The sequence below is a fragment of the Homo sapiens genome, chromosome 7 (assembly GCF_000001405.40).
Source record: "Homo sapiens chromosome 7, GRCh38.p14 Primary Assembly".
In the NCBI taxonomy this organism is placed as follows: Eukaryota; Metazoa; Chordata; class Mammalia; order Primates; family Hominidae; genus Homo; species Homo sapiens.
The window spans coordinates 48,215,154-48,236,766 of record NC_000007.14 but is presented as its reverse complement, the minus strand read 5'-3'; the positions used below and the strand labels follow the sequence as shown (position 1 = coordinate 48,236,766).

The window sequence follows — 21,613 nt, the reverse complement described above, 5'->3', positions numbered from 1 at the left end:
ATGGCAAGTGAGATTTAAGGCTGCAGATGAAATTAAGGCTACTTATCACCTGGCTTTGAGATGGGCGATTATCCTGGGTAACCTGGTGAGCCCAGTGTAACCACAAGGGTTTTTATTGGAGAAAGGAGGCAAAAATGTCAGTGCCCAAGTGATGGGATATGAGAAGAACTAGACCTGCCATTGCTGGCTTTGATGATTGAGAAAGAGGCTCAGACCCAAGGAATGTGGATGGCCACTGGAAGCTGGAAAAAGCAAGAAAACAGAATACGCCACCCCAAAGTATGTTTCTTTGGCATATGGATTATTTTGAGCTAAAGACAAACTGAAAACCAGCAGAGGCAGGAAAAACTTCTTACCGTTCCCTAACTGTTTAAAAATAGAGTATAAATTTCCTTTTGGTAAAGGAAATTTAGATTTATAAAGAAAATTTACATTATTAAGATAATTTTCATCTGTAAAGATGTCTCCTACCAAAAAGAGAGCTGCTTCTCCAAATAACTCTGATCACCTGGGAGATTTCTCTGCAAAACAGGATAACTCATTCACCATATATTTCCTCCCCTCACCTTCCCATAACTTGCCTTGCTACTCAGAAACCCCAAGCCCCCTTTCCTTTGTATAGATAGCCTTGGATGGCATATAAGCCTTAATAATCTGGCTGCTTCCTTAAAATACAGGTGATCCTTGATCTACAATGAGGTTACATCCTCATCAACCCATCATGACTTGAAAATATCATAAGCCAAGAATACATTTAGTACACCCAACCTCAAAACATAACCAAACTTAACCTAGCCTACCTGAACTGTGCTCAGAACACATACATTAGCCTACAATTGGAAAAATAATCTAACACAAAGCTTATTTTATAATAAAGTATTTATTATCTCATGTAATTTATTGAATACTATACTGAAAGTGAAAAACAGAATGGTCATCAGGGAAGATCTACACATTTCTCTTTGTGAACTCCCATACATACCTACACAATAACTGGTTTTCCTCTTCTTTATCTGTCTTTTATCAGGTTAATTCATGAGCCCCAGCCATTGAAGATGGAATAATAGAGAAAAAAAGAATTTTTCCTCCCCCACAACAGTATGTCCCCTTGACCTCAAGAAGGATTGCAGCCCTGCAGACACCTTGATTCTAGCCCAGTGAGACCATTTCAGGCATCTGACCTCCAGAACACTATGATAAAAGAAAATGTCAGTTGCCTTAAGGCACTATGTTGGGGGTAACTTGCTACAGCAGCAATAGAAAGCTCACACACATGATGTACAATTTCCATGGAGCTCTGTTGATATACACAGTGGTATTTTCTGATCACTTTCCTTTTAATTCTAATCTCAATATATTGAACATTCTAAGGTAAAAGTTTTACATAGTTCACTCAAACTATAATATAATGAGAAAACGGGGTTATAAAGATGGAGAAAACTAGAATAAAAGTCAGCCAACTGGGGTTTCATATTCCATCTACATCAGCATCCATGAGAAAACCCAAGGGTCACAATTTCAAGTCCTGTGGTAGGTAGATAGTTCATAAAATTGTGAGATGATTAATAAAATTGTGCCAGGGATACAAGAAGCACAAAATTTAGTATACTTTGGTGAAGCCTAAACCTACCTGGTAGAACTGGGTTTTCAAACACCAAGCCAGCATGAGGGTCTGCTGGCTGCAACCCAACCATCTAACCCCTGAGACTGAGAGCACAGATCCAGAGTCTAAATACTGAAAGCAACAGTCTGAACACAAACTAGCTGCACTGAAATGTGAAAAGTGCTATCTGGGAAGACCAGGTTGTGGGGAACTCACAAAAAAGTGAGCAAAATCTACATAACCAGCATGGACTGAGATCCTAATGGAAGAGAGTGGGTCCTCTCCAAACATTCCTAACTCAACACTGACCTAGGAGCTGCACCAGAAATGCTCTAACCCTGGAGGTGGAGTCTATGGACCAAAGCTCCAGGTCCCGCATAGTTCTTGGACCTGCACCATGCAAAGCAGAAGTGCCTACAAATGGGCTGGAGTGACAAAAGGGACTCTGTAACTAAAAGATATCTCCCAGAACCTCAGCAATACCAACAGTGAACTGGGTCTTGGGGATCGATCATCCAGTCCAACTCCCTTATTTCACCTAGTTAGGGAAGAGGCTCAACTTTGGTGAACCCAGCAGGCATCCATAACGTACAGCTCCTACTCTTCTAATGAAAACTATCTCTTTACCTGGAAATTCACCCACTTGTATCCCCACTCACTACAGCTGGTGCACCATCTTCCTACCTGGACCCCACTAGCGCTGTCTTCAGAATCTCACACCCTCACTTGACCTGGCCTCTCCCACTGCTAGTTCCCAGAGCAATCAAGTGTCATATTATTTCTAAGCTGCCTTTCCATTCTGGGATAAAACTACATGGTAAGAAGAAAGAGACACTTCTAGAAAAGCTGGAGACAGTAGGGGTCTCTTCTGCGTAAGGAGCTCGGGTTTTGACCGAACTCTCCTGTCTGGCTGCCTCTCCCGTGGCACCCGCTCACCCTGCCCCAGCAGCATGCTCTAGATCCAGTCTCCAGGAAAGGCCCAGCGGTGTGAGAAGCAGTCAAGCATGTGTACCTCCTTCAGTTCAGCTGAAGAGTTCAGGATCTGTTCCGTGTGAAGATCATCAAAGCCAAACTGGGATTTGAGATCATACTGGACTTTCTGTGGATCCCACACTATATTCTGCATGGACAGGTGGTAAACTGGCTCTGTTGGAATAACAAAAGATTTACACCAGCAGTTGTTTGAATATTTTGATATGTTTAATGTAATCCAGAAAAAAAATACCTTTTTTCACCTCTAAAGGAAGAGCAAATGAAGACCAAACACCACTGGGGCATCAGATAGAAAAAGCAAACAGAATAAACACTTGCTGCTATAGAGAGAATGGTGAAGTGTCCCATGCTCCCTGGCACAAATGGTTGCAACATTTCCAGAAGATAATTTTAAAACATATTTCAAGAGCTTTATAAAATTCAAGTCATTGAACCCAATAATTTCACTTCTAAAAGTCTTTCTCAAGAAGCTTAATCAGATATCTGAGCAAAAATTAAGGTACGACAATATTTTATTGGTTCTATACTGATAAAATATTGAAAACCAGTTAAGTGTCTAGTATCCAGGGAAAGGATAAATTATAGTATATCCATAGCATAAAATACTATGGAGTCTTTAAAACTGTATTCTCAATAATTATTTGAAGTCATAAGAAAAAGTTCCCCTAACTCAAGTTATCAACATATAAAATTCATGAGCTACCCAAAAAACCCATGGCACTATCTAGTAGTGACACATTCAAAATATAAATCGAAGACCCCCAAGGTATGACAAAATCTCTGGGGAGTATGCCTCAGCAACTGCAAACATAAAAACACATAAATTTCTTGGTGTGTTTGAATCTTGAACCTTCATTTAGAAATTAGATTGTTTCAGATCATGATGATTCAACACCCATTGACTGAGCCCCTTCACCTGCCAGCCACTAATAAGCCATTTTCACAAGCATTATCTCATAGGATCCTTATAATTGCAGTGAGGTCTACAAAAAAAAGCACAATCCATGACATTCACAAAGACAGACCAAGTCAACGGGGACTTCAGGAAGGTGTTAAAGATGGGGAAAATCCCAGAAATACAAGATTTTTTGTTTCCAGTCTGATTGCCTTTACATGGCATCATGGGAGGAAAAAAGATTGGTGTCTGAGATTAAAACCAGCATTTATTGTATGTTGAAGAGGTACTAGGACCTAGACTAAGAATACACCATGGGAGGTCTCACTTAGTCCTCCAACAACACTATGAGGTAGGTGCTGTAATTATCCCCTTTTTCTTAGAGTCCCACTTGTTAGATTAAGCCTCTGATTCAAACCCAAATGATCTGGCTTCCAAAGCTGAGCTGTAACTATTAATCTCTACTGGTCTCAGAAGGTATTAGAATTACTCACAGAGTTCCAGAAAGGAGAGAAAAAATAGTGACATCAGTGTAGCATACTTATAAAAGTATAAAATCTTTCTCAAAAAGTGAAAGACAACTTGGATTCAGAAATTTGTTGCTAAACAACAGAGAATTCAGAATGTGTAGATTAACAGTTTTAGTGCATAACATAATTGGACCAGTAGCCTAAAGCCACATGAGGCCACTCATCCCTTCCTCTTCACATTGGAATTGGCTCATCAAGCAAAAGAATTTTTCTTGGAGACAAGAGACATGAAGACAATTTTTAGTTACCTCTCAAAGTATGTTTTGTAATAGTGTTCCTTAGCTTTGACTCGCTGGAGAGTTAATAGAAAATTGTTTATTTTAATTACATTCTTAACGGTAATTACATTTTCAATTGTAAGGCAAATTTGTTGTTGTAATTTGGATGATGTACAAAAACTTGAGCTTCTAAATGAGTCTGTTAAATTAAGGTCACTGGGAAGATTTCGATGAGGTGTTTTATTCATCTCGCACCCCACCTCTGGGTTTTGTTCTCAGCATAAGAAATACTTCCCAGTGGAACTAACCTAACCTGAAAATGGAGTTAAACGTTAATGAGCTAGCTTTCTCTTACAGAAAGCTAAAAAAAAAAAAAAAAAAAAAAAAATTCCATGTGGGTCTCACTGTGCTGAGTCACAAGCAACAAGAAGAAAGAAGCAACAGGTGGAAAGGTGGAATTTGGGGCCATAGAGGGTTTCATGTTAGTTTGCTCCATGAAGCAGCAAAATTCTGAATGGGATTGTAGAAATCTCTGTGTATAACAATCTCATTGTACAATAGTTCAGGGTTGGGCGCAGTGGCTCACGCCTGTAATCCCAGCACTTTGGGAGGCCGAGGAGGGCAGATCACCTGAGGTCAGGAGTTTGAGACCAGCCTGGCCAACATGGTGAAACCATGTCTCTACTAAAAATACAAAAATTAGCCAGGCGTGGTGATGCACGCCTGTAGTCCCAGCTATTTGGTTGGCTGAGGCAGGAGAATTGCTTGAACCCAGGAGGCAGAGGTTGCAATGAGCCAAGATCTCACTGCTGCACTGCCGCCTGGGCAAAAGAGCGAGACTCCATCTCTAATAATAATAATAATAATAATAGTTCAGGAGACTGAGACCTCAGGAGAAAGTGGCTGATGGAAGACTTGCTCCCAGGATCCTGAACCCCAGAACTACCTGCCTCCAATCTACTCCTCACACCGGCCCAGGAGTGTCTTTCTATAATGCAGATCTAATTCTACTGCTCCCATGGCCACTCGTGTTTTGGCCTGGGCTCCTTTCTATGCCACCCCCTGCTACTGCCCACTGTACCTCAGACACACTGAATGTCAAACATTCACAGCTCTCAGCAAGCCCAAGTATCTCACAGTCTTCTCTCTTCCTGGAAATGCTCCCTCATCTCTTTGATAAACTCCAACTCACCCTTCAAAACTCCTCCTTGAAGTTTTTCCTGAAGCAGATGTCAGATCCTTACTCTGTGGTCTTTGTTTTTTGTTTGTTTGTTTGTTTGTTTTTTATTATTGACATATCTCTCTCCTTTACTAAACATGACTTCCTTGAAAGTAAGAACTATGCCTTTTTTTTTTTTTAACTTTAAGTTCCGGGATACAAGTGCAGAATGTGCAGGTTTATTACATAGGTATACATGTTCCATGGTGATTTGCTGCACCTATCAACCCATCATCTAGGTTTTAAGACCCGCATGCATTAGCTATTTGTCCTAATGCTCTCCCTCCCCTCTCCCCCGACCCGACGACTGGACCTGGTGTATGTTGTTCCCCTCCCTGTGTCCATGCATTCTCATTAAAGAACTATGTCTTATTCAGCTTTTTATTCCCACTCTCTGGGGAAGTGTTTGGCTCATAGGAAGTGCTCGTTGTTTATTCAATGAGAGAATGAATAAATAAATGAACAGATGAATGGGTTGGTGGGTTGGTGAGTAGATGAATGGGGAGGTGGATGGACAGATGAATGGATGAGTGAGTGGATGGATGGATGGATGGATGGACGGATGGATGGATTAATGGATGAATAGATGGATAGATGGATGGATTAATGGACGAATAGATGGATAGATGTATAAAGAGGTTGATGAGTTGTTTAGTGGGTGAATGGGTAGGCAGATGGATGGATGGATGAATGGATGTGTGGGTGGATGGATGGACAGATGAACAGATAAATGGGTGGATGAATTCCAACTTTGTTGTTCTCTCACTGTATTTCCCTTAGAGAAATAGCCAAAGATAGAAAAATAGAGAAAAGAAGGGAATTAAAAGTAAAAAGCTCAGACTCAGTTGGTAATTCAGGAAATAATAATATCCTGGATCAAGAAAAGAGCTATATAATTCCATTCCCTCCCCTGTGGTAGGGCTGCTTATTTAGTTAGGGACTCTGTAAGTCCACATCAACCTGCCTCCTCTTACTAGCTTTGCCATTTTTAAAATATTTCCTCCCAATAGGAGCTTAGAGAGAGGAAAGATTAAAATCACAGAGCTAGTGATAGGTCTAATATTAGATGAAATAAAGTCAAAGAATTTTAAAATCAGTTATTTTTAACTTAAAAATATCATTTATATTAGCAATGACTGCAGAATGTCAACAGTGGTAGAAAGTCAAATTCAGTTTCGAGTTCAAAATTTTTATTCTATTTTTGTCTTGTATTAACAGAAACAATTCATACTTTTTTGAATTTGAAATTTTAATTAAATCATTTTGAACATCATTTTAGCTCTATGTCAACTGTCAATGAATTTAAGTAGTTAAACGTTTTGAAATATAGCAATAGCTACAAGGCACCCATACCGGTGACTGCTACTCCATGTTGCTGCAGAAATGTCAGTGTCGAAATGGTCACATTCAGTACAAGTTCAGAAACCTGGGAAAAAGTTTGGTTGAGTGGAAGCCAATCTAAATCTTCTAGGGATATTAAGGAACTAGAACCAAAACAAAACAAAAAGCAATATGAGTGGGTAGTTAGCAAAACAAGTAGCATCAATTCTAGGTTTACTTACATCCCATGGACTGGGCCCCTAGTGCTGTTGCAAGATGTGGCTGGACCATTTACATGTCAGCATTCTTTGTGGCTTTAATGTGACCCTAACTCCCTGAACTAGTAACTAAATGTAAGAGGTAAGGTCTTCTCTTGAAACACTTGAGAACTTAGGCCATCTTCCACTCTGCCTTTGACACAGAACTCAAGTTTGCATTGGCTCTGCCATAGGTGTTATTTTATACTCAGCCTTGATTCTTCCTGCCGCAGGGCAGCTGATGAGGCCAGCCAGGGTGCAAAGGGCTGCTATGTTAGAAAAGCAAATGAACAGTCAGCCTGGCTGCTTCAAGTTCAGATAATCAGTCTAATATTTGGGGGGCAATACCATGTACCTCAATCCTCCACCCTGTCTTAACCTATGGATCTGAATAGGTCAAGGGTTAATCAGTGGCTGTTAAACTGTTTCAAAGAACAAGGAGCTTTGGGGAGGGAGAATCTACATATACATATTAATTTTATTTTTAAAATATTAATATTTTATTTTATAAATAAATATGCTTAAATTTGTAGATTAGAAAATGCACTCAACAGAAGTTGGAATATATCTGCATTTTAGCAACATGAGACCAACACAATCATAAGCTGTGCTTCCAAACAGATTATTTCCTTGTAGATTTTCATCAAGAAAAATCTTTTATGACAACTTTGTGTATTGAAGCGTATCCCAGGATTATAAGATATATCACTGAAACCTGGTACCACTTGCAAATACTTCTATGAATGCAGATTTTCTTGATATCATGCCACTGAAGCCAAATATGGAAATACAATTTATACTGAAGCTGATATGGTTCAACAACTGTCATCAATATCTTCTCATTTTAAATTTTGCATCTCTCAGAATAGCCAATTATTTTCGTTGTTCACTGCTAACACAGTCAGAGCTTCGGGCAAGAATACAAAGGGAGGCATTTCAAATATGTTCAAATATTTAAGTTATAAATCAAGCTAACTAACTATCAAAATACGTTCCATTTTCCTACATTGACAAATAGATCTTCATAACAACTTGGAAAGCTACATTCAAATTTAGAATTTTGTGATCCTCAGAGTTACGCACCAGAATGTGGGAGTTTGGGGAGCACCTGTCCCTGGCCCCAACCTTCAGTCCACTCCTCCCCTATGTGCTCCCCACCCTCAGCTTGGTCTGTACCTCAAGGGGCCTCAGTGCACATAGGTAGGTCCTCCAGCCTACAAAGCCCAACAGCACCCGTGCCTCCCACCCCACACTCCTGCCAATGGCTGCAGCCATCCCTAGAATACCCTTGGGCTGCAGGAGCCACAGTCCAGTGTTAAGACTTGCCCTCAGAAGGAGGGGCCAGAAAAGAGGCTTGACCATGATCTGGTCATTAAATTAGGGAACTCCAGGGTGAGAGGGAATCAGGGTGTGTGGGCTCCGTGGACACATCCCCTTCACCCCATGGGCAGTCTGAGCCATGAGCAGAGGCACAGTCCAGGGAAAGCCAGAACGGGGACCTCCCCAAAGCACAGGCCCCAGGACAGGGCCCTTTTTGTTGTAGCTTAAGGGTAATGTGGCTCTCACCAATGGCAGATAGAATAAGTAACAGTTAAAAAACAGAGAAGAATATAAACCTTTGCTAATGAAAAATAATAAAACCCATTATTCATACAATGAGTTTACACAAAATAATTCAATTGGTTATAAAAGAGGGCCATGCTGATTAAGGCATAAGAAGCCCACCACGGGAAGGGATGCTCCCAAAGGTCACCCCAGGTAACATGGGGGTCAAATCCAGCATAGGAGACCAACGTCCAGCTAACTGAATTACACAACTGAAGCAACTGAGCTTATCAGTTCTGAATGCTATACTGGGCAACTATGGCATAATTTCTTAAGAAATTAGTTGAAATTATTATATTCAAGCCTATCTCTAATAGTGAAAAACTCAGAAACAACCAAAAATCCAATGCCAAATTTATTAAGTAAATTACAGTATATAGTACTTTACCAGAATGATATATGCTGCAGCCATTAAAACTGGCCATTTATAAACTATAACAACATACAAAATATTAAAATATGGCGCTGACTTTTTTAAATCAGGGAGCACACGCTCTGAACAACATCACTGCCTGTATATAAAATATGTACACAGACAGATGAGGGACGTTCGTGGAGGTGCAGAAGCTCCTCTTGTTTCAAGGTAACATTATTGTGAGGTTTTTTTAAATCCAACAATTAGTAATTTTTATTTCTCATTTTAAAAATAAGGTAAAAAAACAACATATTGATACTTAGTTATGTTTTTCTTTTTCACTCACTTCAAAATGGTCTGGAGAAGGTTCACTGCAACATCCATGCCATCTTCCACATGATCATGGCTTGTGTGTAGTCTCGGCAGTAAAAGTAGAAAATCCCAGATATGAGGCTGCTGATGGAGGCTTTCCAGTTTCAATATTACCTCCTCGGTCTTATTGAGATCCATCTGATGGGAAAAAAAATACACCAAAAGTTTCCCTCTGGAGTTTTATTAATAAAGTAAATGAGACAGACAGATGCTACAAAGGTGCAAAATTGTAGACATTCTCCTAGTAGAAACTCACACTTAATATATCACTACATTGAACAGATTTGCCAATCTGCTGAACACAATGTTAAAACTATTCTGTGCAGTTGGAGGATTTTTTTTTAATGGCTTAAAAATATGGACAAGGAGGGAAAAATATGGATGGGGTAAGAAGAAAAAGAAGGCCGATTTTTGTAACAAGCTGTACCAACTTCTACAGTTTTTGAAGCAACAAAGTCTGTGACATAGATCCTGGATAAGAATGTAATGATCTATTCTTTACATGTAAATGATAAAGAAAAGAGAGTAATTCAAATATGAACAAAAAAACCCAACATTTCACTGAGCACTGATGGCTTGATCAGAAGGCAAATGCAGCTGGCCCATAGTATAGAGCCTTTGGATTTCTCTAGATACCCGAGGCTTTCTTATTATATGCCAAGAATGGCTAAGTGCAAAAATAGAAGGAACATGGGTCTCCAGTGCCTCACTGAGCCCGCATGCTCTCCCTAGGTGGAAAAACACCCCAATGCTCCATGACATCCCAGTAACAACTACCCCACACTCTGTGATCCAAGCTCCACAGTTGCTGGTTCTCTTCTTGCTGCCTAGTTCCCATTTCTTCAATAAAAGTGAGTCCTGCATTTTAGACCACTCATAAAAGTCACAGCATTTATCTTTCAGATGAGATAGAGTTAAAACAAACAAACAGAAAAAGAAGCATTCTCCAGAGGTCCAACTACTCCAAACGAGACACACTCCCTCTTCCTCACACCACTCTCAGTGGAATGAAAAGAGGGTCTCAGAACTCAGCAGGGTCCTGGGAAGCTCCCAGAATGAGCTCTTTCCATTTCTGGAGGATTCTGGCTTCTAGCACACTACCATGCTTTTCGGCATGACTTCAGCCACCATTCTCAGTAATTTCCATATCTAATGATCCTCAAATCCCCTCTGTTACTTTATCTCCCTTCCATCCAATGATATTTTCTTCCACCTGCTTGAATCACCCATTTCTCTGGTCAAAATCTTCATTTTGTTTTCATTATCAATAGCTACAACTTTATGCACCTCACTCTTCGATGACCAACCCCACTCCTTTTCTACAGTTCCCCAACTCTAATGACTCTTTGGCCCTACCAGGCCCCACATTCCATTCTGCCAACACCTCTTTCTTGTCCCCATTGCCCTCGTGCCCCTGGTCCATTCCTGGATGATCTTTCCCTTGAATACCCACTCAACTCTCTTCTCTTCTCACAATCTATCATATATTCCACTGGCAAAAGAAAAAAAAATCTATCCCCAGCCAAATTCAGTGCTTCAGTCCTCAGGCTGAGCTCAGCCCTCCTGCTCTCCCACCCCTCAAGAGCATCATCCAGCAATTCTCTCTTTTCCCCTCTATCGGTTCATTCCTATCAGCATGTTATTATCTGCCATCTTAAAAAACACAAGCTGTTCCTGCCATAAGTACAAAACCCCAAATGCAATCACGAACAGACATCAGGCAACCCCAAAATTGAGATAGATAGTCTACAAAATAAGTGATCTATTCAAAAATCATGATGAAATAAAAACAAAGACCGTTCCAGAACAAAGGAAACTAAAGACAGGACAACTGAATGCAATACATGATCCAAGATTTTCTTTTGCTGTTAAGGACATTATTAGAACAATTGGCAAATCTGGAAAAAGTCTATAGGTTAAATAATTCTATTGTATTAGTGTTAATTTTCTGATTCTAATAATTGTACTGTGGTTATGTTCAAGAATGACCTTGTTTTTCAGAAGTATACAGTGAAGTACAGTCAGCCTTTCGTAACTGTGTGTTAGGCATCCTTGGATTCAATAAACCATCGATTGAAAAAATTTAGGGAAAAAAATGGATGGTTCCATCTGTGCTGAACAGGGAGAGAGGGAGGGAAGAAAGGAGAGAGGAAAGATGGAAGGGAGGGAGGGAGGGAGGGAAGGAAGGAAGTAAAGAAGGAAGCAAAGAAGGAAGGAAGGAAGGAAGGAAGGAAGGAAGGAAGGAAGGAAGGAAGGAAGGAAGGCAGGCAGGCAGGCAGGCAGGCAGGCACGCACGCATGGTGATTAACGCCTATAATCCCAGTATTTAGGGAGGCTGAGGCCAGAGGATGGCTTGAGCCCAGGAGTTTGAAGCTCAACGACAGAGCATTTTTTGTCTCTAAAAAAATAATAATAATAATAAAGAAGGAAAATAAATCCATATCTCCTGTCTCCGTTTAGGTTCCCCTGCAACAAGGACTTGTATATAGGTGGCTTATTCAGGAGATGGTCCCAGGAAGAAGGAGCTGAGGAGGTGGAAAGAATGCTGCAGCGATTAAAACTGGCCATTTATAAACTATAACAACATATGAAATATTAAAATATGGCGCTGACTTTTTTAAATCAGGGAGCACACGCTCTGAACAACATCACTGCCTGTATATAAAATATGTACACAGACAGATGAGGGACGTTCGTGGAGGTGCAGAAGCTCCTCTTGTTTCAAGGTAACATTATTGTGAGGTTTTTTTAAATCCAACAATTAGTAATTTTTATTTCCCATTTAAAAATAAGGTAAAAAAACAACATATTGATACTCAGTTATGTTTTTCTTTTTCACTCACTTCAAAATGGTCTGGAGAAGGTTCACTGCAACATCCATGTTGCAGTGGGGAAAGAGGGAAAGAGGGAAAAGTCAATGCAGCCATCAAGGACCTGCACAGGCCATGCTGGCTTGAATCCTCAAAGCCTCTCAGGAACAAAGGTACTGCCCAGAGTTGAACCATTGCTGGGGGAAGTTGGACCAACCTTCCCCAGTTGCCCAGGACTGAGATGTTTCCTGGAACAAGGGACTCTCAGTCCCAGGCAATGTGAGTCTGGTGGTCACCCCAGCTGTGGGTTGCAATGGGGTTGTTAGCTCCCCTGCCCTCTCAAGCTGAACTGACTTCGGGGAAGAACAGAAAGCAAAATACTCTCAGCATGTGTTTGACATGGGGCCCTGTGACCAGATGTCTGAGCTCTCGGGGAACTGTCCATCTTAGCTGGGGAGAAATTAGAGAGCCAGCAGGGTGGGAACAGACAGCAAAGGCCTCTGCAATGCCCAGCAGCTTCCACCCCATACTTCACTGCTTCACAGCCTACCATCTTGAGTCATATACACTCTCTGTCTCCACTTACCTGCCCCCATTCTCTCTCTCTCTCTCTTTTTTTTTTTTTTTTTTTGAGACCGAGTCTTGCTCTGTCACCCAGGCTGGAGTGCAGTGGCACAATCTCAGGTCACTGCAACCTCCGCCTCCCAGGTTCAAGCAATTCTCGTGCCTCAGCCTCTCGAGTAGCTGGGATTATAGGCACCTGCCATTACGCGCCTGGATCATTCTTGTATTTTTAGTAGAGAAGTGGTTTCATCATGTTGGCCAGGCTGGTCTTGAACTCCTGACCTTAGGTGATTGGACCGCCTCAGCCTCCCAAAGTGCTAGGGTTACAGGCATGAGCCACTGAGCCCGGAGTGCCCCCACTCTCTTTTAAACCCACTCCAGTCAGGCTTTTACCCTCATCATTCCATCAGAGCCTTTCTTGTCAACATCACTAATGAACTCCATGCTGCTAATCCCAGTGGCACTTCTCCATCCTCTTCTTACATGATCAATCAGCCACACTTGAGACAATGGATCATCCCCATCTCCTAGAAAATTGCCTTCCTGGGCTTCCACAACACCCCACATTCTCACCTTCCTCCTCCTTGCCTGATACTCTTTTTCAAATGCAAGTGCTTGGTGCTCAGCCCTCTTTCTCTGCTCTGTCTACACACTCTCCCTTGATGACCTTGAAGTCTCATTTATGCACCAACACTTTCTAAATTGATATATCCAGCCAAGAGAGTTTATCTCAGCTCCAAACTGGAAACTCCCACAACCTCCTTGGCAATGCCACTTGGATATCTCACTGACATCCCCCAAATCAATTTCTGATTTCCCTTTATACCCTCTCCTCCTCTCCCCTCAGAAAAACCTGTTTCAGTCTTTCCCCACCTCAGTAAATGGCCACTCCATTTTTCCAATTACTGAGGTCAAACCACATAGAGTCATCTTTGATTCTTCTCTTTCTCTCATAACCTACCTCACATTCATCAACAGAGCCTACTGATTTTACCTCCAAAATATATCAAAACCACCCTCACATCTCACTACCTCCCTCACTAACTGTGCGTCTGTTCTAAAATACCTCCATTTAATGTTGCATAGAAGGATGAGCTGATTCCCTACGTGGGCTCCCACTTCCGCTCTGGCTACCGTCGGTCTCTGCTTGACACAATGTCCAAAGAAATCCTCCAAAAACATAACTCAAGTCCCACCATTCCTCTGCTCAGATTATTCAGATAGCCATTTCACTCTCAGTGAAAATCAAACGGTATAACATCTTTATCAGAATTCTATAATAAAAAAGCAACATAGAACTCTTTCATTGTAACAAATCTTTTTTCCTTCAATTCTTTGCACCGAAATGTTTTTACATCGCAAACATACGATGGATATGATACTGTCCTCTGCTTTTTACACTTGATCTAATAACATACTCATTTTCCACATACCATACTCACTATTAAGTGACTGTACTAAGAAGGCCATCAAGGTCAACTTATCTTACTTTGGGAAATTTGAATTATCCATCATTATCAATGAACATTTTATGCATACAGCTTTTTATTTCCCTTGTATTATACATAACATTAATTTTCAGAACAATTACAGAGCAAGAAAATCAAGTTGCTTTTCCAAAAATTATTATATCTTTTTACATTGTCACAACCATATGAGATTATATCAGTAAGCTACAACATCACAAGCATCAGGTATTATAATTTCTTTTTTAAATGCTAATTTAATCATTAAAGTGATGGTTTATTCTATTTTTAAGTTCTTTCATTATTTGTAAGATTTTGAGTGTGTGTCCCATATTTTCCTTTTGACCTGGTGCATCAGAAATCTCCAAGTTAAGATGAGTGTTTGTTCAATACTCTTTGCTAGTGTCATTATTTAATGGATGCACTGACATTCTTGCTTCATTCCAATCCATTAGCTGGCCCCTATTCTTTTACTTTTCTCCTAATGGTTTTATGGCATATTTTTTTTGAGCTGTCTAAATCTTTCTTAGAATTAAACAGATACAGACACATATGCTTCTGTTAATGCAATGTTACTACAAAGTCCTGTACAGTCAGTCAGTGTCTGGTGCTGCAATATGAGCAAGGAAGAATTTTTAATATTGTCAGGGTTGCACCTTAACTTGAGGCTTATCAACCGGACTACTGATGTTCTGGGTCAGATGATTCTTTGTTGTAGAAGCTGTCTTGTGCTTTGTAAGATTCTTAGCGACATCTCTGGCCTCAACCCACTAGAGGTTAATATTACCCTCCCCACTGGTCCACAGTTATGACAACCAAAAATATGTCCAGACATTGACAAATATCCTTTGGAGGTCAAAATCCCCCCTGTTGATAACTAGTTCCTTAACTGAGGGCTTCGTGCCTCGAGGGAGTCACCGCTTATGTGCCAAGCACAAATCTCAGACCATCCCTGGGATCAGATAAACTCTGTACCCATCTTACAAAGCAACTCTGTGGATCGCCCACCACCTGCTGGCCTCAGGTTTCACCTCTGCTTTTCACAGACCCAGAGCCTTGCTTCAGAAAATTCAAACTTGTCTTTTAGCCCGTATCTACAAAGACCTTGGCTCTCTCAAATCCAGCTTCTATACAATTGTTATACAAGTCATTAGAAATAATCTTTGAAAATGTAAACTTAAAAACAGTGTTGTAAACTTAACCATTCTGTCTCTGAAGACTAATTTTCAAACTATTGTTAAGATACTTACTGTAAAAAAACTGGAACCATAAGAAGAATCTATAATAAAGAAGGTTTAAGAGATATTAGTTCAATCATCAATGAAAAAGCACATGCTAAATGCCTACTTTTAATTCTAAAGTCAAATGGAGTATCCAAGAGCCCTGGCCCAAAAATCAAATACACCAAAACTGAAGAATAAATCTATCTTCATAAGATTTATCTGAAGAAAGCTATCACCATAGATTTCCAAATCTAAGTATATTCATGGAAAAAATTTAACTGGTAAACCAAATTTCAACAATTTGCCAAAGGGTATTGTATTATTTAATTAGTATCTAATTTCACTGGGCATTGCAAAAATTCAGGATAGGAGAGAGGGAATAAATGAAAATTTTTTTAAAAAGAAAAAAATGAAGGAAAAACTTGAAGAGAAAAAAGTGAAATTATAATTTTTCAGATTATTTTAAGTTACATATCTCACAGAAAATGGCTCAAATAATAGAAAACTAGAAATAAAGTGGGAACTTCATCTCAAAAAAATTTAATTCTTCTTTAAATAGCATGTTAAAAACCTCATTTGAAAATCAAATTTTATAAAAGTAGAATGACCCCAAAATAGAGTGTAATATAAGAACTCCATCATTTGGTGTTTGGAACCATTCTGGTCTATTTTGATACATTTTGGGTCCATTGTGAAATCAGCTTTCAGGCAGGCCATGGCCAGCCCTGCCCCATCCTGGACAAAGGTGCTATTTTGTCTCTTAAAAATACCACATAATGCCATCTGCCTTGGGAAGCCCATTCTTCATGTTTCTGCCAAACTCTTTATTTCGTGGTTTTGTATACACTCCATGAAGAAAGAAAAAATTACATAGGAATTATAGTTGGAGCTATATACTTAGGATTATCAGATTTAGCAAATTTAAAATAGAACACATCCAGTTAAATTTCAATTTCAGATTAGAAATAAATTATTTCTTACCCAAGTATGTAACACTTGGGACATACATATATTAACAAATTTTTGTTATTTAAATTTCAAATTTAACTGAATGCCCCCATTTATTAACAAATATCACAATAGGCAATGACTCAGGGATGTGAAGAGAGGCAACTGGCTGCCTATTTCTGAGGTGCAAACTTCTCCATTTGTAAGCAAAACTCTCTAAGATCTTTATCCATCCTAACTTTCCCTACTATAGATTATAAATAAGATGAAGCCATTTATAATGTGGATGTTCTTTATAATAAACAGAAATTGCTTTTGTTTAGGGAATAATCCACCCCAATAATCCAAAAGGTTTGTAATCAAAGTAAATAAATCATCCAAGGCCAGTCTTAAAGGGTTACTAACATGGAAAAGACCAATCCAAATATACAAGAAGGAGGAAATGAATTGGGAATGTGTGTGTGTGTGTGTGTGTGTGTGTGTGTGTGTGTGTGTGTGTGTGTGTTTGGGGAAGGTGGGGACAGATTTTAAAAACAGAATAAGAGAAAGCAAGAAAGGAAGACAACAGCCGAAGAGTGTAAAGGAGTAGGCAGAGTGGTGAGAAGGTAACTGTGGAGACAAAGTCAGGATGGGCTGCAGCCCTCTGAAGGTTATGCAGTGTGTGCACTGCACAAGGTGCCTTCCGAGGGGGTTGAGGAGAGAGAATCCAGCTCCACCCTCCACAACCGTCTGCAGGTGCTGGCCTCATCCATCAAAGACTCACTATGAAAGTTTAGCACAGGCAGGAGTTGAGCATTTAGCATTCTGGGTTCTCATAGCCTCCACAGCTCTCCTTAAGCTATGTCCAGGTAGGTAGTGTCACAGTTATGAGAGGTTTACTTGCCTGGAGTGTTGGATCGTTCTACCCAAAGTCTTTTTAAGTTTTTTGCCTTGTCCATCATTCCATGAATTTCCTCTGCCAGGTCTTGTATCTCTTTTAAAAAGGCCAGGTTGTTGACTTTCTTGGGGTCAGCTGCAGTTTGGAACCTAGACAAACTTTAAACAGAATAAATACTGCAAGTGAAACTCTTTAACAAGAATAAGTTTCCTTGGCATTTTTTAAGATTCTTGATACCAAATTGCTTTCAATTAAACTTGTACCAACTTACACTCTCATCATCTACCCTGAGAGCCCATTTCACCTGACCCTCATCCAAAAGAGAAATCATTATTTAAAAAATCTTCACAAATTTAAAATTAGAAAATCGTTCTCATTCTCTGTATTATCTGAAAGCTTAGCCATTTTATGTTTATAAGCCATTTTTTAAATTTATTTAACACATATTATACAGCATGCCCTGCACACGGTGCCTGGAATAAATACATCAGTGAACAGTACGGACATGATATGATCTGTGCATGAGGAGGAGACAGAGATAATTACGGAGAATGTTTTAGTTTTTTAATTCCATGCCTTTATTTTACAAATTAGAGAACATAGTGAAAATGAATTAACAGTTGTCAACATGCATATCTACCATGAAAAAATAACAAAGCTTACATCACAAAGAGTTACAGTAAATCTCTTCCACAAATATTATCACTTAATTCTCACAACCTATAATGAAGTCAGAGCAGGTTCAACATTTACTGATGAATAAAATAAATTCAATGCCTTTCAAGTCAGCTATTTAGAGATGAGGAAATGTGGCCCAGACAATCAAAGTGAATTTGCTAAAAGCAAGCAGAATGTTTGCAGCAAAGCTAGGTCTGGAGCCCAGAGAACTGAGCACTGGCTTAGAGGACCTTCTACTACAGGTGGTTGCTACGTACACTCAACAGAAATCTCACCTGTTTTTGTTTTGTTTTGCTTTGCTTTAAAAAAAAAATGTAGAGAGAGGATCTTGCTATATCGCCCAGGCTCATCTTGAACTCCTGGCCTCCAGTGATCCTCCCACTTTGGCCTTCCAAAGTATGGGATTACAGGCATGAACCACCATGACCAGCCAGAAATCTTACCTTTTAAGTGTGGCCTTCAACTTGAATGGATCAGAATTTCAAAAGCACAACAAGAAATTACTTCTCTACTGAGGCCTCATATTAAAGGCTAAAAATGACCTCTGAAAGCTATGAACCATGATTCAAACTCTCCTGCCTCACCCATACATGAGATTCGCCTCGGAAACCATAGAATTATCAGATTATAGAAACTGATGTAATTCAAGATGAGTTTCCCCTGTAATAATGAGCAGGTTTTACATTCTTTTTCTAGTTATTATCTCAAAAGTACCTCAATTTGTCCTTAAGACCAAATTAGGAACTATCATTAACATGAGAAATGTTTATAGCAGAAAAATACATAGAAAATCCTGATTAAATGTTAATTTGTGTGTATGTGTGAGAGAGAGAGTGAATTCCAGAGCAGCAGGGAAATCCCAGAGCTATAATAGGATTTGGGTGGAGAGCAGTTTCCTCCTTTCTGAGTACAGGTCTTTATTGAGACTTTTATCAGGTAATGCTTGACCTGCCAGGCTAGGAAAAGACTTGCAAAGGGAAGGGGATAAAAGAGATTACAGTGGGGAGATCAAGAGAAGGCCACTGGGCAGAGATGACTGAACTTTCCCAGCCCTCAGACTGACACTGAGAATCACCCCTTCAAAGGGCCAGGAACCAATGCTGCACCTAGAGACATCCTTGCAATTCTGTGAAGGACCCACTTGAGGTTGTCAGAAGTACATGGGGCCTTGGAAATCATTATTCAGGTCCCTTCCTCAGTTTGAAGATGAGAAAACTTAGACCCAATGAGAGCTCCCTTGGAGTCAAAATGTGTTTAAAGCAGTGTCACACTTGGGAGATTATCTTTAAAATAAGATCAAAATATTACCTACCTAATAGGGTGGTGTGAGGATCATCCAGCACCCAGCACTGTGTAAATAAGCAGGAAGAGAAGCGGCAGTGGTGAGACTAACACTGAGATATGTGCATTTTCAGCATAAGGACTACAAGAATAAGCAAGGAATGTGAAGCAATATGATTATTCTTTCTATTACAATTTTTGTTAATTTTTGCTTAGACAAACAGGGCAAATTGTTATCAAATGAGAATTATCTCTAAGCAGATCCAAAGGCAGAAGTAATTCTCCTAAGAAGGTTGTTATGGCTGACTCACATTACTGCTCCCATTCATCTGAGCCAGAGAGGAAGGATCTGAGGACAGTACTAGGTCAACTCCATAACTTTGCACTTGTGAATTGTGCTACAGTAAATACACAAGAGCAGGTATCTTTTTAATATAATGATTTATATTCCTTTGGATAGACATCCAGTAATGAAATTGCTGTATAGAGTGGTAGTTCTATTCTTAGTTCTTTGAGAAATCAAAATGTTTAAAACAATACCAAAAAATATTAACTACTTAGGAATACATTTAATGAAATATACATAGAACTGAGAGCTACAAAAACATTCCTGAGAGAAATTCCAGAAAGCTTAAAATAAATGGAGAGCTATATCATGCTCATGGATTGGATGATTCAATGTTTTTAAAATGTTAATTCTCTCCAAACTAATCTATAGATAGAAGGTAACCCTTTAGGACAACTGCATATCCACATGCAAAAGAATGAAGTTGTATCCCTTCCTCACACCATACACAAAAGTCAACTCAAAATGGATAATAGACTAAAATGTAAAAGCTAAACTGTATAACTCAGAAGAAAACATAGCAGGAAATCCTTATGATTGAAGGTTAGGCTGAGCATTTTAGATATGACACCAAAAGCACAAACAACAAAAGAAAAAGATAAGTTGGACTTCATGAAAATTAAAAACTTTTACTTCAAAAACACAATCATAAAGTGGAAAGATAACCCAGAAAATGGGGGGGAAAGATGTGGAAATCATATATCTAATAAGGGACTTGTCTGTAAAATATATGAAGAATTCTTACAACTTTATAATAAAAAGACAAATAATCCAATTTAAAATGGGCAAAAGATTTGAATAGACATTTCTCCAAGGAAGATATACAAATGGCCAAAAACTACATAAAAAGATTGTCAACATCATAAACCGCTAGGGAAATGTAAATCAAAATCACAATGGGATAACTCCTTATATCCACCTAGATGGCTACAATCTAAAGAACAGAAATATAAGTATTGGTGAGAATGTGGAGTAATTGAAGCTTTCTACCACTGATGATGGGAGAGCAAAATGGTAGAGCCACGTTGAAAAACAATCTGACGGTTTCTCAAAATGTTAGACGTAGAGCTATCATATGACCTAGCATATACTCAAGAGAAACAAAAACATACATTTATTTTAAAACTTGCACATGAATATTCCAGCATTATTCATAATAGGCTAAAAGTGGAAACAACTCAAATGTACTTCGACAGAGGAAAAGATAAAGAAACTGTCCTGTATCTATACAAGGGAATATTAGTTGATCATCAATTTTAAAATGAAGGATTTTAGATGCTACAACATGAATGAACCTTAAAAACATCGTGCTAAGTGAAAGAAGGCAGTCACCAAACAAAGCCTATAACTTATACAAATTCTATATGTAGGAAATGTCCAGAATAGTAAAATCTATCGAGACAGAAAGTAGTTTAGTTGTATGCCCAGGGTTAGGCGTGGGGGAGATTGGGAGGAAATGAGAAGTGTATGCTAATACATTTAGATTTTCTTGTCAGGTTGGGGAAATTTTTCTAAAATTAACTGTGATGATGGTTGCCCAGCTCTGAATATACTAACAATTATTGAATTGTGTACAGGCCTACCTTGTTTTATTATGCTTCGCTTTATTGTGCTTCACAGATACTGTATTTTTCACAAATTGAAGGTTCATGGCAACCCTGCACTGAGCAAGTCTATCAATGCCATTTCTCCAACAGCATGTGCTCACTTTGTGTCTCTGTGTCACATTTTGGTAATCCTCACAAAATATTTTAAATCTTCATTATTATTATATCTGCTATTGTGTTCTGTAATCAGTGATCTTTGATATTACTATCATAATTGCTCGGGGATGCCACAAACCATGCCCATATAAGATGGAGAACTCAATCAATAAATATTGTGTGTATTCTGACTGCTCCACTGTTTGGCCATTCCCCCATCTCTCTTCCTCTCCTCGGGCCTTCCTGTTCCCTGAGACACAATGATATTGAAATTAGGCTAATTAATAACCCTACAATGACCTCTAATTGTTCGAGTGAAAGGAAGAGTCACATGTCTGTCACTTTAAATC

At 39.3% G+C, this 21,613-nt stretch overlaps 1 protein-coding gene across 29 annotated transcripts in view; it reads right to left on the bottom strand.

The window, feature by feature from the left end:
* Positions 1-21,613, bottom strand: part of ABCA13 (ATP binding cassette subfamily A member 13) — a 476,040-nt gene that overhangs the window by 410,731 nt on the left and 43,696 nt on the right. For 28 of the 29 annotated variants that reach the window (XR_926914.3, XR_926915.3, XR_926919.3 and 25 more), the window contains exons 4-8: positions 17,262-17,413; positions 15,458-15,486; positions 9,342-9,505; positions 6,812-6,942; positions 2,616-2,749 (exon numbers count right to left, since the gene is read on the bottom strand). Coding sequence is in view for 26 of the 29 variants with exons in the window: in XM_011515130.3 (XP_011513432.1) it covers positions 2,616-2,749; positions 6,812-6,942; positions 9,342-9,505; positions 15,458-15,486; positions 17,262-17,413 (610 nt within the window). In the remaining 3 variants the exon portion in view is untranslated. Of the gene's footprint in view, positions 1-2,615; positions 2,750-6,811; positions 6,943-9,341; positions 9,506-12,210; positions 12,264-15,457; positions 15,487-17,261; positions 17,414-21,613 lie in introns of those variants that run through there. The other variant, XM_011515136.2, reaches the window with a different exon arrangement.